Source organism: Homo sapiens, chromosome 5, assembly GCF_000001405.40.
Source record: "Homo sapiens chromosome 5, GRCh38.p14 Primary Assembly".
NCBI lineage: Eukaryota > Metazoa > Chordata > Mammalia > Primates > Hominidae > Homo > Homo sapiens.
Window position 1 is genome coordinate 9,653,812 of NC_000005.10, and position 18,710 is coordinate 9,672,521.

The 18,710-nt window shown below is 37.8% G+C and overlaps 1 protein-coding gene and 1 long non-coding RNA gene across 2 annotated transcripts in view; both read right to left on the minus strand.

Moving 5' to 3' along the window:
• Positions 1-18,710, minus strand: part of TAS2R1 (taste 2 receptor member 1) — a 276,530-nt gene that overhangs the window by 26,465 nt on the left and 231,355 nt on the right. The window contains exon 9 of the mRNA NM_001386348.1: positions 5,610-5,770. The gene's annotated coding sequence lies outside the window, so the exon portion shown is untranslated. The remainder of the gene's footprint in view (positions 1-5,609; positions 5,771-18,710) is intronic.
• LINC02112 (long intergenic non-protein coding RNA 2112) overlaps positions 1-18,710 on the minus strand; it is a 262,510-nt gene that overhangs the window by 12,497 nt on the left and 231,303 nt on the right. Inside the window, exons 10-11 of the long non-coding RNA NR_027112.2 lie at positions 6,090-6,170; positions 5,610-5,770 (exon numbers count right to left, since the gene is read on the minus strand). This is a non-coding gene — a long non-coding RNA (long intergenic non-protein coding RNA 2112). The remainder of the gene's footprint in view (positions 1-5,609; positions 5,771-6,089; positions 6,171-18,710) is intronic.

Below are 18,710 nucleotides of genomic sequence, written 5' to 3' on the forward strand. Positions count from 1 at the left end.
CCCAAATATTCAACATCTACTGTTCTTTGCTTGATAGGAGCCACAACCACTCTCTCCTAAAACCAAGCTTTTTGGTTACAAGTGATTTCTGTGTCTGCAGGTAAGGTTACAGCTGGCTTTGTGGTTAGTAAATAATCTCTTGGTAACAGACTTGCTTCATCTGTAGGTGACTGTATGAAGTCAGGCCGAGGGCTGAGTCAGACAGCTCAGCTGAGCTGCTCTGGTGGCGTGCCATGAGAGTGTCACAGCCATATCTGGAGCAGATTAACAAGAAATGTAAATTCCCTTCCAAAAATAGATTCCAAGAAGTAGAGAACTTTTAAAATTACTTTCTATAGGAATTTCCATGATGCCTGAAGCTCTAATTAAAAAGACTTATAAACTCTAGCTAGGTAAAGAATTTTTGAAAAACTCTTCCTGCATTCTCTATGTAAGAATAATACCTAGTGCTTTTTTAAAATAATAATAATAAGAAGAAGAATAAGAATATTTTGTGCTGTTATTTTCTTGGGCAAAAATTTTTAGAAGGCTGGAACAATCTTGTAATTTTATTCTCTAGCCTTCCACCATTCCTTTACTTATAAAAAATAGCATTTTAATTAAAATAATCCTGAATTCCATGCAAGATTAAACACATGAGAATAGTCAGCAATCTTTTGGAACAAAAAAAAAGAATAAAGAGTGACTTTCACTGTCAGACACCTAAGTGTATTATGAAGCAACAATGATGAAAACTAAGTGATAATCAGCCCATGGGAATAAGTGCATAGTCCAGAAAGGAAAAAATGTCCATAAAATCATTTTGGTATTTAAAGCAATGGAGCAATTATGACCTATTTGATGAAGACAGTATTATATGAACAAGTGGTTAAGCCACTAGAGAAAGATAAAGTTAGGTTCCCATTGTCTCAGAATTTACATGGAAATTAATTAAAATATGAAACAAGTCTTAGTAAAGATACAGAACAATAAAAACTTCCATTCCTTACTGGTGAGACTGAAAATAATACAGCTATTCTGGAAAACAGTATGCCAACTTATTACGAAGTTAAACATACATTGTGTCTGTGGTCCAGCAATTCTACTCCTGTTATTTGTCCAAGAAATATGAAAGCATGTTCCCACAAAAAGACTGTTATAAAAATGCTCACAGTAGCTTTATTTATAATAGCCCAAAATATGTAACAACATGGGTGAAACAAAAAAACACTGCATTAGGAAGAAGGCCAGACACAACAAAGAATGCACTATATGACTACATTCATAGGAAGTTTTAGAATAGGCCAAGTTAACCTATGGTGATAGAAATCAGAAGAGGAATGTCCTGAGGCCTGCAGGGTTTATGGGAAGAATGAACTAGAACAGGACATGAGGGCCCTTTCTCAGGGAAGAGAAATGTTCTACATTTTGATTGTAATCATGGTTACATGAGGCATGTATTTTCCAAAACTTGTCAGTACAAACTTTATAAGTCTCTTATGTATCTCAATAAAAATTAATTGGGAAAGGTTTAACATTTAAAGGAAAAGACTGACAAATATAACTACTTCAAAATTTAAATTTCTGTAGGATCAAAAAGACTATAAATAAAAGATGAGTAATAATGAGAAAAAAATCATTGACTATGAGACTTAGTTTAGTTTAATTAAATTTAATTAATTTAGAGAGAAATCTCAAAATTGAAAAAACATGAAAAACTGATGAACATCTGAAAGGAAAAATGAACAAAAGTTATAAATAGGCAATTTGTGAAAGAAATATATAAGCCCCAAACAAAATTTAAACAAAATTTTAAATGTGTGATGGGCCAAGGGCTAATATATCTCTAATGTAAAAGGGTTTATAGAAATAGGTAGAAAATACTGTATATTTGGATTTTTAAAAAGCAGGCAAAATATAGGAATAAACAATTCACAAGAAAAAACACACACTCAATAAGTGTCTTAAAGTGTCTAGACTCTCTAGAAATCAAGGAAATACAAATTAAAACAACTACATACCATGTCTGACCCTGCTTCTGCTTTTTCCTGCCTCTGTGGTTTTCTCTTTTTTTTTTTTTTTAATTTGTTTGTTTTTCCTTTTCAGAACCACTGATTCTCAACTCAATGCCTGGGAAACTTTTATTAATGTTCAAGTTATCAACTTGGACACCACTTCTCAGGTAGCTTCCCCTGACTCTCAATGCTAATAGGAGCCCTGCTTTGCAATGCTATACCACTCAGTACGTCCCCTAGCAGAGCACTTATCACACTGCACTTACTATCCAGTTTTCCTACAATCCCCACAAAATCAGTTCTGTAAGGGCAATGCTACAGTCCAAGTGCCTACCAAGCACAGTACCTGGCACATATAGGTGCTTAATAAATATTCCTTGAATGTTTTATTGAGTAATATAGCATTTTCAAATTGGGAAAAGCTAAAGAAAATTATCGAGTATCAGCAAGATTTAAGTTGTGGCACTTTCACTCACTACTGGTAGAAGCATAAACAGTTATAATGTTTTCTGAAGATGTAGTAGATGGAGTTCTCCAGAGCAACTGAACCAATCGCATATGTAGAGAGAAATAATTTACCAAAAAGAATTGGCACACATGATTACGTCCAAGATCTGCAGCTGGCCAGCTGGAGACCAGGGCAGCCGATGGGATAAGTTCTACTCTGAGTCTGAGTCTAACTCCTAAAGCAGGAGAAGATCAATGTCCTTCCTCAAAGACAAGCAGGGAAAAATAATTCTTTCTTGCTCAGCCTTTGATACTATTAAGGGCTTCAGAAAATTGCATGAGGCCCAGCCACGTTGGAGAGGGCAATCTGATTGACTCCAACCTGTGATTCTAATGTTAATCTCATCCAGAAACTCCCTCACAGACACATCCAGAAATAATGTGTAACCAAATATCCGGGCACCCTGTGGCCCAGTCAAGTTGACATATAAAATCAACCACTGCAGAAGGTAATTTGCCAACATTTAATAGAACTCATAAAAATGCTTAACTTTTTTGACCTGGCAGTTCAGTCTTGAACAATGTTTTCTAAGAAAATTATCAGAAATATGTCTCTGAATACCTGTTAATGGCATCTCTTTGTTCATTGGTTGTAAGATAAAACAACCTTAAGAGTGATTGAATAAATTATAAATTACAATAAAATATAATTCAAAACTTAACGATGATATATAATATAGACTTGCAATTATTGATATAAAAACATATTCACAATATGTTAAATTTAAAAGTCTATCAATAAAGACAATTGTAATATGATCTAATTTTAATTTTAAATATACAATATATACAATACAAAATATACAATAAAACTTCCAGAAACTTAAAATGTAGTGTGTCTTCTTTGGGTCTGAAATTATGCATGAGTTTTTTTAATTTTTCTTTTCATTTTATGATCCTGATATTTCCTAGTTTTAATTTCAATTTAATTAATTCAATTAATCATGTAATTTCAAACAACCAAAAAACTAACCATGTGCTTTGAAAGCTTGACTTACATAGGCTACATCTCAAAAGTCTGTTCCACTCAGGATTAAAATTAAAGCAATTAGCTTAGTTAGATCCTTTTCCCTTAAGCGTTTCATTTGCTGTCTACTAAAAATACCGAGCTCTGATTGCTTTGCTCACCAGCCTAAACTATTCCTCCTGATAGAGCCTCAGCAGGACAAGAGACAAGATGATGTTTAGGTAGAGGATTGAAAGTGATCTGAAAAACTGACAGGTGTGGTGTGGTATATCCATACAATGAAATATTCAGCCTCAAAAAGGAGAAAATTTTTGACCCATGCTACAACATGGAGGACATTAAGCTGAGTGAAACAACCCAGACTCATGAAGACAGACGCTGTATTATTTCAGGAACATGAAGTTCCTAGAGTAGTTAAATTCTTAGAGAAAGTAGAATGGTGGTCAGCAGGGGCTGGCGGGGAGTGGGGAATGGGGAGTTACTTAATGAGTGCAGGGTTTCTGTTTTGCAAAATAAAAAGAGTTCTGGAGATCTGTCACACAACAATGTGAATGCACTTAGTGTTACTGAACTGTACACTGAAAAAAGATTAAAATGGTAAATTTTATGTTATGTATATTTTACTGTAACTTAAACAACAAAGCTGACATATCTGACTGGGGGAAAAATCAGAGTCACACAGACTTGACTTGTTGAAGGATTTAGAACTGATGAGGGCTGACACAGTGGCTCAGTCTTCCTGCCAAATCCAGGGCTCCTCCCCTTCATCCCGCCACCTTTCAGAAGCTGAGCTCTAGGCACATCAGAGCAATTAAGACAGATACTTCTATATTCTCAATCTATCACCCCTGGAATGAAAGCAATAATAGTAGCTAACACATACAGGGTGCTGACTATTTGCCAGGTAGTATTCAGAAAACACTTTACATGCATTGACCAGATAATTCTCACAACTCTGTGAGGGAAGAATTATTATGAAATCTCATTTTACAGATGAGGAGCCTGTGTCTCAGAGAGGTTAAGTAATTTTCCCAAGGGCACGCAGCCTGCAGTGGGATAGCTACAATGCAAACGCACGCATTATAGCCCTAGAATCCATGTATATAACTGTTGTAACCATGATTCTTATACTTTAAGGAATCACCTGAAAGATTTCTCAAAGCTGTTTCCTGGACTCCATCCCAAGAGAGTAGTTGGTGTTAGGGCCCGTGAATGTGCCTCTTTGACAAGCTCACCGGTGCTGCCAGTGCTGCTCGGCTGAGAGCTGCATGCTGAGTGGAACAAGGATTGCAGCACACTGTAAGTGTTGCAATAAAGCACCCCAGTTATGTTCTGGAATTAAATCTAGTAAATAATCAATAATGGATGAGTTACCCGTGGATCAAATTAATTTACCCCAAATGACTTGCTATTGATATGCTCGTATTTGGTAGCAATGTGAGTTGATAATCCAATTTAAAAGCTGTTACTTATTCAACTCTATTGCAGCAAGTATGAGGCAATGTGTTCTCATGACAAGACGGCTGGGAATCTAGAGAAATGCAAAACCAAGGAATATCATTTAGTGTAAAACCACCATAACAGCACAACACGGTCTTTTAATCACTACAGCATCATTTTCAGATGTTACAGAAGTTACAGTATGACTATAGCATTCCACAAAATCCTCACACTCCCCTTGCTCTCAGTCTATACTCTGCCTTTCCAGAAGAGGTTGCCTTGGATACAAGTATTGTCATGCCTGTAAATTTTATCCCCTGTGGCAAGTTAGCAAATTGGCATCCAGGTTTAATAAATCTGTCTGTTATTAATGAATAAATCTAGTCTTTCTAGCAAGACTCATACCCACAATGCTTGATAACCTCTGAGAAAATGGGTAAAACCAGTTGGTGGACTCTCAAAGTGGACAATTGCACCCTACACCCGTGTGACCCAGGGGAGCACAGGGACCCCATGAACTACTCCCCCATGGGAATGAGTAGTATCCCTCTCTCTTGAGACTCTGGGACTGCAGTTAGTGAGGTTGGGTTCTGAAAAGATGCTTTCACATCCCCAATTATGACTACCACTCTAGACTTAGACCAGCTGCCCTAGGGAGAAGAATGACAGCCCCACATTTAATAATAGATCTCAGGTTTCACCTTCCTCACTAGGAACAATCCGCTCAGCTTAGAAGCTCTGGAGCTGTTTTCCCACACCGCAAGGTCTTCTATCGGTTTGAGAGCCCCTGGAGATGGCCCACGCTGGTGGCAACGAGGCATAGAGAGTCACACGAGATCACTTAGCTCCCCAGTCAGGTCTACTGCAGTATGAGAAACAGGGGAGGGAAATGTTAGCTATTTAAAGATACTAGAAAGAAAAACACATGGCGTGAACATTTTTATTAGGTCATAAGGGGTCAGGCCTAATAGAAGATTATCACTTTATTACTGGATTCCATTTTATATTACCCTGCCTGAACAAGACTCTCACGATAGCACCAACAGATTTGGCTTTAATGACTTCTCCCTCATAATTTCTAATCACCTACACTTAAGGACCATTCCCCACCACAGGAAAGTGATGGTGGGGAAATACTTCACTGCAGTGAAGACCCTTAAACTCCCAAGATTCAGACTCACCTCCCTGAGCCCCGAGCTCACCAGTGAGTCCCTCAAGACTGGGTAATGAATAACACCAAGCATTCATCTATGAAGGAGTTCCTAAATAGGATGAAGTAGTTAAAAATATTTTTTAAGAATAATTAAAAGGCATTATGGAAAATCCTGAAATATTTCTTTTTTTTTTTTTTTTTTTTGAGACAGCGTCTGGCTCTGTTGCCCAGGCTGGAGTGCAGTGGCGCGATCTCGGCTCACTGCAAGCTCTGCCTCCTGGGTTCATGCCATTCTCCTGCCTCAGCCTCTCAAGTAGCTGGGACTACAGGAGCCCGCCACCGCTCCCGGCTAATTTTTTTTTTTTTTTTTTTTTTTTGTATTTTTAGTAGAGACGGGGTTTCACTGTGTTAGCCAGGATGGTCTCAATCTCCTGACCTCATGATCCACCCGCCTCGGCCTCCCAAAGTGCTGGGATTACAGGCGTGAGCCACCACGCCCGGCCTGAAATATTTCTAAACAGATAAAAAATAGGGTCAAATATGAACTCATTCTTCCTTATATAGAACATGTCCTACTAGTCACTAAGGTGCCCAGGTTTCTTAATTGGTTTGTTCTTTGAGCTAATACCTAAAAGATGACTAACATGGGAAATGAAACCCAATGGCCGCAACGTCCTTAAAACCCATGCATCCAAACATCCTGTGCCTCTGGGTAGTCTATGGCAGGCTGAATGACAGTCCCCCTTGGATATCCCTGTCTTAATCCCTAGGACTTGTGACTATGTCACCATACATGGCAAAAGGGACTTTGCAGATATGATTAAGGCTACATATCTTGAGATGGGAAAAAAATGACCCTTGATTATCTGAGTGGATCCAGTCTAATTGCATGAGTTCTTAAAATAGGAAGGGGAATCAAGGGAAGTGTATCACAGAGACAGCAGCATGAGGATTCAGTGCAAATGGCTGGTTCTGTGAGGTAGGAACCACATGCAAGGATCTGAGAAAAGTTATAGGAGCTCAGGGCAGCCTTCACTTGACAGCCAGCAAGCAAATAGGGACCTCAGTCCTACACCCGTAGGAACTAAATTTTGCCAACACCTGAATGAACAAGGTGATCTTTTTCTCCTAGAATCTCAAGAAAGGAACACAGCACTGCCAACATCTTCATTTCAGGTTAGGGAAATCTGTACTGGATTTAAAGAATTAGAAAATAATAATTTTTTGTTGTTTTAACCTACTACATTTTTGGTCATTTGTTATGGCAGCAACATAAAACTAATGCACAGTTTTCATCCAAGTTATACTTCTAATTAAAACCTTACCACTTTAACAAATCCTGTTCTTTCTAGCCACAGCCTCTTAGCATGAACTCCAGTTTCTTTTTGTAAAGTAATCCTCTATAACCTTTTATACTAAACTTTCTATACTAAAAGCATCAGTAGATTTCCTTGCTGTATTTCAGCCCAAATTAGCTGGGCTTGACTAATCACAGCAGGGTCATTTAGGAGTGACATAATCCTAAACACAATCCTGAAGGTGAATGCATGCTCTCTTTTCTGACATTAAAGGTGGTTTCAATCACGTCTGGCACCGACTGAAAAAATGTATTCTGGAATGCCTCAGGATGAAGGAAAGAAAAACATAGATACTGATCTTCCAACATCGCAATCTGGTTCTAATATCAGTTGTCTACAGGAAGAATTCACTGTTAGAGAATGATTTCCTCAAGTCTATTTTTAAGATCCCTTTAATGTAGCCATCTGCTAAATTATCTTGATACAAATGAGGAGAATTTCAGTGAACATCTGAATTTCCTTGTTTATAAAACGAAAACTAGATCACATTCCTTATCTAGCCTGGTGATAAGAACTAATTTGATGTATACATATATCAGTGTGTGTACGTAAATCATATACACAGATTTATACTACATATACACACATGTGCACCAATCAGGATAAGCTAGTTTATGCTGCATCATTATCTCTGCCTCAAACAAACCACCCAAACTTAGTGCCTGAAACAGCTCAGGTTTACTCCCTCCCAGTTCTGTGTATCAGCTGTTTGGAGTGGATTTGGCTAGAGGTTCTTCTGTTGGTTTCACCAGGGGTCACTCATGTAGCCGCACCATGGGGTAGCATGGTCCAAGACAAATCCATTCACATGCCTGCTTGTGGGTGCTGGCAGTCAGCAGAAGTTGTGAAGCCTCAGAAGGCTTTTACTCAGAACAGCCTCCATGCCATTTCTCAGTCCCCTTTGATGTAAGCAAGTCACAAATCCAGCCTAATTCCAAACGGGTAGAGAAAGAAAATCTACTCCTTGATGAGAAGAGCAATAAGTCACATTGCAAAAAGGCACACACGGTGGTGGGAAGAATCTGTTGCTATTTCAATAATCCATCATTACCCCCAAATATCAAAGATTTATTTTTATTCCCACTGCATGGCCATCGTGGTTCACTGGGGGCTCTGCTGCCCATTACTGCTCATTCCAAAATGCAAAGTGATGGATGATTCTGCCACGCAGAGCATGCTGTGCTGGTTATCAGAACCAAGGGGAAAATGTCAGAGAAGTGGCCTGCAGGAAATGAAATACTTCCATCCAGGAGTGACAGTTGTCACTCCCAGCCAACTCTAAGTAAGTCATATGGCCACATCTAACTCCAGCGGAGTTGGAGGTGATTTCTTACAGGTGCCTGAAAGAGGAGAGCTCAAGTGAGAATAAGTAGATCAAACAGGTAGCACAACATACATGCATGCTCTCACACACACCCATACGTGACATCAATCTAATAGTTTGTCACAGGCAGCTCAAACATTTGGAACTACCCAAAACTCTATCCGTGTTCTGGAAATGATAGTCTCTGACTATAACTCAGTTAAGAAAGAACAAGAAGATTGATAGTGTTTTTGTCATTTCCGTAAGAAATTTTGTTAAGAATACTCTTTCTTATTTGTTCCAGAGATAATGATATAAATAGAATTCACTTGTCAATACCCAATTACTTTTGATCAGACATGGAGGGATTCTATCTACAAACTGAATCAAAAAATCAATTGTCATTTTGAAGTCAGTACATTATCATTTCTTTGTAATTCAAAGCTGTGGTAGTTAGGGCTGTTCTCAAATGGTCTTTTTCTCCTTCTGGTTGTACTTTCATCCACTTAAATGTGATCATGTGACTTTCTTTAGTCAATACAATTCTACGTTATATTTGCATGCTATTCTATACTATAAAGCATTATTATATATAAAAACTCATAAAGTTATCAGGATAATAATTGGAAATTAGCTTAATCTCATGCAAACTGCAAAAAAAGATGATTCTACAAACAATATATGTGCTAAAAGAAAAAATGACAAGATAAATAATACTGAATCACTACAATCTCCAACTAAAATTGTCTGACTCAACTAAGGCAATAAATTTTTAAAAACTGAAATCAAAGTAGAAATATATTTTAATTGTATTATATTTCTTAATGTTTTCTTATATTTAATGTTAGAATATTTGCAAGTCTACAATGGAGGAGGAGAGATTTATAAATTCCAGCTGCCTATAATAGCTCAACTTTTTCAGAGACGTAAATTTTTTTCTTCTAAGAAGAAGTTTTTCACTTCATGTAGAAGATTATACTAATATTTACCTGAACCCAAATTAGGGAAGGTTTATGTCGTTGTTGTTTAACTTAATATGCTACCCACGTTAATTAGCTATACTGAGCTTGCTTTCTTATTTTCTCTTAGTATCCCACATTTATAAAGCTATGTGCTATTCTCAAAAAGTTTTAGGTAGCAGTCCTTGTAAGGAGTTGAATGTGACACTCAGAAAAATCTCTAGAACTGGTGAATGCAACTTTATTTGGATAGAAAGTTTTGCAAATGTAATTAGGTTAAAAATTTTGAGATGAGATTATCCTGGGTTACCCAGGTAAGCCCTACATCCAACAACCAGTGTCCTGATAAGAGACACAGAGAAGAGGGGAAGGCTGTGCACAGACAGAGGCAGAGACTGAAGCAATGCATCTATAAGCCAAGGAATGCCAACAATTGCCCACGGCTCCCAGAAGCTAGGCAGAGGCATGGAAAAGATTTCCCTCAGAGCCTCCAAAAGGCACCAACACTATCGACACCTTGATTTTGGACTTCTCATCTCCAGGACTGTGAGATAATACATTTCTGTTATTTTAAGTCATGGAAGTTTGTGGTGGTTTGTTGTGGCACTCCTAGGAAACTCAGCAGCCCCTATCGAACCATGCCTCCCTCATCGCCCCAGGCTGGCTTTCCCTTCCACCTCTTCTATATTGGCACTCCCCAACAAGCGAGCAGGGCCATCATCTCTGAATTAACACTATCTAGAATTCATTTCACCGTCTAGCCTCCTTTGAGTTCTGCAGAAAAGCAGAGGTTGTTATATCAAATACATCAGATGTCAATTGCAAATGTAAATTTTTAATCGTGTTTCCTTTAGGTGCTGTGATGCATTTGATGCAGAAACAGTTGAGCTCTACTCTAAATGCAGAGTACAAGGGACAGGGGAGAAAGAAAAATGAGCCATGCACAGTCCCTCCCCTTCCAGGCAGCTATATGAACATGTAAGCTATAAACCACGGTATATATTCCATAACGATTTCCATTTTCTTTGCTCCTGTTCTGTTTTCCAGGACTGAAAGTTGCCTCTAGAAGATGCCACAGTCTGCTGTCAGTTATTTTCTTCCACCCATTAAAATGCAAATTGGTATTTCTATGTAACATGTGACAGGTTTGGATAAACCGTGGGATTCTCTCCTCTCAATTCTTTACTGATTGAATTTTAATCTGGATTGCCTATCAAAACTCAGCCTATTCCTTGAAGTTCAGATAAAGTGTCACATCCACAATTAAAGGTCTCACTGTTACCCCCTTACAATGCACTTTTTATACCTGAGAAATGTGATTACATTTATTTAACTTACTATGTTTCGGGCACCATGATTTCATTTAATCTTCAGGGAACACACCTACCATTAGATACTCTTTACAAATGAGGAAACAAACTTGGCAGTGTTCAGGAACTTGTCTAAAGTAATTGTATTAGTGAGCTAGAGATGCATAACAAAGTCCCATAAACTTAACAGCTGAAAACACCAATTTATTTTCTCATAGTTCTGCCAGTCAGGAGTCCAACACAGAACAGATGGATTCTCTTCTCAGCCTCTTACAAGGTGTCAGCTGGGCCACATTCTTTTCTGGAAGATCCACTTCCAGGCTCCTCCTTGTTGTTGGCAGAATTCAACAGTGGTAGAACTGAGGTCCCATTCTTTGACACATGACCTCCATCTGTGAGCAAGCCATGACATATCAAGCCCTGCTCATGCCTTGGTTCTCTCTGGCTTCCTCTCTCTGCTTTTAAGGGCTCCTGCTCCTGCGATAACATCGAGGCCATCTGAACAATCCAGGATAATCTCCTCATCTCGAAATCAACTGATTAGTAGCCCTAATTACATCTACAAAGTCTCTTTTCCATGTACAGTAACATTTCCCTGGGTTTGGCATCCTATCATCTCAGTTCCCAGTGATTGGGGTGTGGAATGTTCTTGGGCCACGATTCTGCTTACCATAGTCACTCACAATCAGTAAGGGACAGACCAGGGATTTAAACCCAAATTTGTTTTAGTCTTTGTACCATGTCCTGCTTCCTCTCTAGGACACACCTTAAACTAAAGCTGCAGATGTTGGTGAGAAGAGAGAGTGTGATGTCTAAGACCACAGCCTCTGGGCAGCCCTGCCTGAAGGCAAATCCTCAGCCCTCTCATCAGTAGAATGAGTATAAAATAATGTCTGCCTCTAGGGTTGTTATGAGAATTCAGCGGCTTAATACTCGAAAAGGGCTTGTTTATTACTTTGTCTGGCATATAGTTAGCATTGTAGAAGAGATGTTAAATAAATAAAAGTAAAGGAACATAAGGCAGGAGAGTAAAAGAACAGCAGTGTAGAAGGCATTTTGCCCATTTTATTATACCATGATAATTCACAACGTTTTAAAAGGTGAAATATTTGTAATTGTAACATTACCCTACTTTTGAGCTAATAGTTTAAGATGTAGCCTTGCTAGGTTTCAACCTATTTTTGGACAAGGAGTATGACTTATATGCATTAGATACTTACTAATCAATCAGGGAGTTGAACTGGATTCAGGAAAGTTATATAACAAGAACTTCATGATTCTTTTTTTTTAATATTGCCTATTTCCAGGCAGATTATTAGTGGAAAAATAATTATAAGGAGAGATTTTTCAAAATATGTTTAAAAGCTTTTGTTTTTAAAATGAATTTGGAGAGAGTTCTATTTATTGAAGCAGATGCTCTGACTGGAAGCAAAATCAAAATCTAATTAAGAAAGAGTTACAACAATCTCCATGACTGAGAGACCCTTGATGGGCCTAGGGCACTAGAGCTGACATAACAATAGATGCTGGGTCTGATGTGTGATAGGGAGGGCTCTATGAAGCTCACATCTGCCCCTAAAATGCCACATCCCCTGGCCAACCACAGCTATGCTCTTAATGTCTACAAAATATCTTCATTGATGTTCATTATATCTGGGAGGAACAAGGGGCTTCATCAATGAAAGAGCATCCAGGAATTTATCAGATGGTTGAGAGGAATGAAAGCCTGATTTCTTCCTTGATGATGATACTTACAGAAAACAGATTCAAATTTGCTAGTAAAATCATAGCAGTGAGTAAGAGTAGGAAAAAAATAGGTGGTGCATCTTCCTATTGCTGGGTGGGGTGGGGGCAAAGGAAACAAAAACTAGATCTGCAGATAATAGGGAAATGAAAGAAAAGAAAGAAGAAAACAGAAAGCAAGAAACAAGAAGGCAAAACTAACAGGTAACATCAGTTACAACAACAAATGTGAGCTGAATTCAATTACAAAACAAAAGATTCACAGCATCATAAAGGAAATTCTATTATATACTATCCCAAGTGTATCCCACCTAAAATAAAATGATATGTGGTTTAAAAATAAAGTGATGGGTAAAATATATTAGGTACACGAAATCAAACACAGAAAAGTAGAGATAGCGATATTAACTAAAAAATCAAGCTCAAGGCAAATTTTTTTTAAAAAAAGATAAAAAAGGTCCTTATATGAGTATAACAGGCATGTTCCAAAATAAAACTACATGAGACATGAAATATTTTTTATTGACTTCTTGAGTCCGTTTTTTTCTACAAATTTTAATACATGCATACCATGTGCCTGGCATTCTGTTGAAAACTAGAAACACATTTAAACTAGACATAATTACAGTCAGGACTTTAAAAGTTTAGATTTCAACACTCCCACTTCTGCCTCAACTTGCAGCTTCCTGTTGTCCAGGAAAACACCCTGATGGCAGGGTGGGCAACTCTACCTACCCCCACCTCTCGTAGCCAGGAAAGCTTTACCTGTTAGAGCTTCCAGCCTAGAGGCTCTACCTCTGCCTGAATTTGCCAAAGGGTACAGCCTCCTGTTGCCCTGGAAATACCTGGATTGCAGGACGGGCAACTCTATCCACCTTACTTCTTGTAGCCAGATGGGCCACACCTGCTAGAGCTTCCTGCCCAGTGGCCTCACTTTTGTCTGAATTCTGCAGGCAGGCATAACCGTATGTTCCCCTTATCCCCACTTGGACAGTAGATTTGGGTTGACCTGGAAAGGATATAGCCTGTCTGCCAGCTTTGGCCCCTGCCCGAGGGAGACACATGGAGCAGAACACCCAACAAAAGAAATGTGGGCATGAAGACAGTAATCAAAGAGGGCTCCTCCAAGACCCAGGAGTGAACTAAAATTGAAGCCAGTCAACTGAACCCACTTTATATCACAAAGAAACCCCCAAGAGCATCAAAGAAAATAAAAACAAAGAAACTCACCCAAAGGATAACAAATTCAAATACTGAAGGAACATCAGCCCACACAGATGAGAAAGAACCAATGCAAGAATTATGGCAGCTCAAAAAGTCAGAGTGTTTTCTTACCTCCAAACAACCGCACTAGTTCCCCAGCAATGGTTCTTAACCAGGCTGAAATGTCAGAAATAGAATTTAGAATATGGATAAGAACAAAGATCATTGACATCCCGGAGAAAGTTAAAACCCAATGCAAGGAATCTAAGGAATGCAGTAACATGATGCAGGAGATAAAAAACAAAATGGCCATATTAAGAAAGAACCAAACTGATCTGATAGAGTTGAAAAAATCACTTCAAGAATTTCGTAATATAACACAAATATCAACAGCAGAATCTGCCAAGCTGAGGAAAGAATCTCAGAGCTCCAAGAGCAGTTGTCTGAAATAACTCAGATAAAAATAAATAAAACAATAAGGAAGAATGACAAAAACTTTGAGAAATATGGGACTATGTAGAGACCAAACCTAATTCTCACTGGCATCCCTGAAAGAAAGGGAGAGAAAGCAAGCAATTAGAAAACATGTTTGAAAATATCCTTAATTAAAATTTTCCCAACCTTCTAGAAAAGCCAATATTCAATCAAGAAAATGCAGAGAACCCCTGCAAGATACCTTACAAGATGGCAATTCCCAGGACACTAATCATCAGATCCTCCAAGATCAAAATGAAAGAAAAAAATGTTAAAGACAGCCAGAGAGAAGGGGCAGGTCACCTACAAAGGGAACTCCATCAGGCTCACAGCAGACCTTTCAGCAGAAGCCTTACAAGCCAGAAGAGATTAGAGGCCTACATTCAGCATTCTTAAAGGAGAATAATTTCAACCAAGAATTTTATATCTGGCCAAATTAAGATTCATAAGAAAAGGAGAAATAAGATCCTTTTCAGATATGGAAATGTTATGGGAATTTGTTACCACTAGACCTGCCTTACTAGAGGTCCTTAAGCAAGTGCTAAATATGGAAAGCAAAGACCATTACTAGCTAGCACAAAAGCACACTTAAGTACAAAGACCATCAGCACTATTAAAAAAAAAACCACACAATCAAGTCTGCATAATAACCAGCTAACAACATGATGACAGGATCAAACTTGCACATATCAATATTAACCTTGAATTTAAATGGGCTAAACACCTCAATTAAAAGGCAGAGTGACAAGTTGTATAAAGAAGCAAGACCCAACTATATGCTGTCTATAAGAGACCTGTCTAACATATAATGACACTCATAGGCTCAAAATAAAGGGATAGAGAAACACTGGCAAAGCAAATGGAAAACAGAGAAAAAGCAGGAGTTGCTATTCTAATTTCAGACAAAGCAGAGTTTAAATCAGCAATAATCAAAAAAGACAAAGAGGGGAATGACAGAATGGTAAAGGGTTCAATCCAAAAGAAGACCTAACTATCCTATAAATGTGCAGCCAACACAGGAGCACCCAGATTCATTAACGAAGTTCTTAGACACCGACAAAGAGACTTTGATAACCATACGATAATAGTGGGAAAATTCAACATGCCACTGACAGTATTAGACAGATCATCAAGGCAGAAAACTAACAAACGTTTTCAGGACTTGATCTCAACATTTGACCAAATGGACCTAAGAAACATCTACAGAACTCTGTACCCCAAAACAACAGAATATATAGTCTTCTCATCTGCACATTGCACATACCTCTAAAATCAACCACACAATGGCCATAAACTGTCCTCAGCAAATTTTAAACAACCAAAATTATACCAAACACACTCTCAGACCACAGCACAATAAAAATAGAAATCAATACTAAGAAAATCACTGAAACCCATACAATTACATGGAAATTAAACAACCTGCTTCTGAATGACTTTTGGGTGAACAATGAAATTAAAGTAGAAATCAAGAAATTCTTTGAAACTAATGAAAACAAAGATACAGCACACTAGAATCTCTGGGACACAGCTAAAACAGTGTTAAGAGGGAAGTTTACAGCTGCAAAGGCCCACATCAAAAAGTTAGAAAGATCTCAGATTAACAACTAACATCACAGCTAGAGGGACCAGAGAAACAAGACTGAACCACCCCCAAACCTGGTTTTGAAATAACCAAAAGCAAAACTGAACTGAAGGAAATTGAGACACAAAAAAACATATAAAAGATCAAAGAATCTACAAATTGATTTTTTGAAAGAATAAGTAAGATTGTTAGACCACTAGCTAGAATAATTTTAAAAGAGAGAAGATAAAAATAAACACAATGAGAAATAAAAAGGGGCTACTACTACCAACCCCACAGAAATACAAAAAAACCCTCAGAGACTACTATGAACACCTCTATGCACACAAATTAGAAAAACTAGAGGAAATAGATAAACTCCTGCAAACATATAACCTCCCAAAATTGAACCAGGAAGAAATTAAATCCCTGAACAGATCAATAATGAGTTGTATTAAATCAAGTTTAGCCTAAAGATGCCTCCTTACATTTTTTAAGTTTGGCCTAAAGGGTTCTCTGTTCATAGTGAATATAACCTAAATGGAGGTGTAAACAGACTGTAATTTACTCTTGTGCCAATCACTGAGTTTTGACCAATCAAAGAGGGCAAATGTTGAAACTGTATTTAAATAAGACAAATGCTGAGCTGTTTCTGTATCTTACTACTGTTTTCTGTATATCATTTTCCTTGTTCTGTCTATAAATCTTCTTCCACCATGTGGCTGCACTGGCATCTCTCTGAGCCTACTCTGGCTCAGGAGGCTGCCCACTTCATGAATCATTCTTTGCTTAAATAAACTCTGTTAAATTTAATTTGGCTAAGGTTTCTTTTTTAACAGTTCCAAAACTGAAGCAGTAATAAAAAGCCTGCCAACCAGAAAAAGCTTAGAACCAGATGGATTCACAGCCAAATTCTACCAGATGTATAACGAAGAGCTGGTATCATTTCTACTGAAACTATTCCAAAAAATTAAGAAGGAAGGACTCCTCCCTAACTCATTGTATGAAGCCAGCATCATCCTGAAACCAAAACCTGGCAAAGATACAACAAAAAAAGAAAACTTTAGGTCAATAGCTTTGATAAACATAGGTGCAAAACTCCTCAACAAAATACTAGAAAACCAAATCCAGCAGCACATCAAAAAGCTAATCCACCATGATCAAGTAGACTTTATTCCTGGGGTGCAAGGTTGGTTCAACTTATGTAAATCAATAAATGTGATTCACCACATAAACAGAACTACAAACAAAAAGCACATGATTATCTCAATAGATGTAGAAAAGGCTTTTGATAAAATTCAGCATCACTTCATGTTAAAATCTCTCAACAAAGTAGGCATTGAAGGAACATACTTCAAAATAATAAGAGCCATTTATGACAAACCCACAGCCAACATTGTACTGAATGGGCAAAAGCTGGGAGCATTCCCTTTGAAAACCAGAACAAGACAAGGATTTCAACTCTCACCGCTCCTATTCAACACAGTACTGAAAATTCTAGCCAGAAAAATCAGGCAAGAGAAATAAAGAAAAGCCATCCAAATAGGAAGAGAGGAAGTCAAACTATCTCTGTTGACAGACAATATGATTTACACCTAGAAAATCCCATAGTCCCTGACCGAAGCTTCTAGATATGATAAACAACTTCAGCAAAGTTTCAGGATACAAAATCAATGTAAAAAATCAGCAGCATTTCCATACATCAACAATGTCCAAGCTGAGAGCCAAATCAAGAATGTAATCCCATTCATGATAGCCACAAAAAGAATAAAATACCTAAGAATATAGCTAACCAGGTATATGAAAGATCTCTACAATGAGAATTACAAAACACTGCTTAAAGAACTCAGAGATAAAAAAAACAAATGGAAAAATATCCCATGTTCATGGACAGGAACTATCAATATCACTAAAATGGCCATATTGCCCGAAGCAATTTACAGATTCAATGCTATTCCTATCAAACTACCAGCATCATTCTTCACAAAACTAGAAAAAAAACTATTTTAAAATTCATATGGAACCAAAAAAGAGCTCCAATAGCCAAGGCAATCCTAAGCAAAAAAAATAATAATAAAGCTGGAGGCATCACATTACTCAACTTCAAACTATACTAAAACACAACAGTAAACAAACCAGCATGGTACCAGTACAAAAACAGGCACATAGATCAATGGGACAGAGCCCAGAAATAATACCTCACACCTACCACCAAGTGATCTTTGATGAAGTCAACAAAAACAAGCAATAGGGGAAGGACTCCCTATTCAATAAATGATGGTGGGATAACTGATTAGCCATATGTAGAAGATTGATGCCGGACCCCTTCCTTACATCATATACAAAATTTAACTGATGATAAATCCAAGAGTTAAATATAAAACCTAAAACTGTAAAAACCCTTGAAGATAACCTAGGACATGCCATTCTGAACATAGGCCCTGACAAAGGTTTCATGATGAAGATGCCAAAAGCAATTGCAACAAAAACAAGAATTGACAAATGGGATCTAATTAAGAGCTTCCGCATACAAAACACACAATCAACAGAGTAAAAGACAACCTACAGAACAGGAGAAAATATTTGCAACCTATGCATCTGACAAAGTTCTAATGTCCAGAATCTATACGGAACTCAAACAAATTTACAACCAAAAAACAAACGACCCCATCAAAAAGTGGGCAAGGACATAAACAGACATTTTCAAGAGAAGACATACACACAATCAACAATCA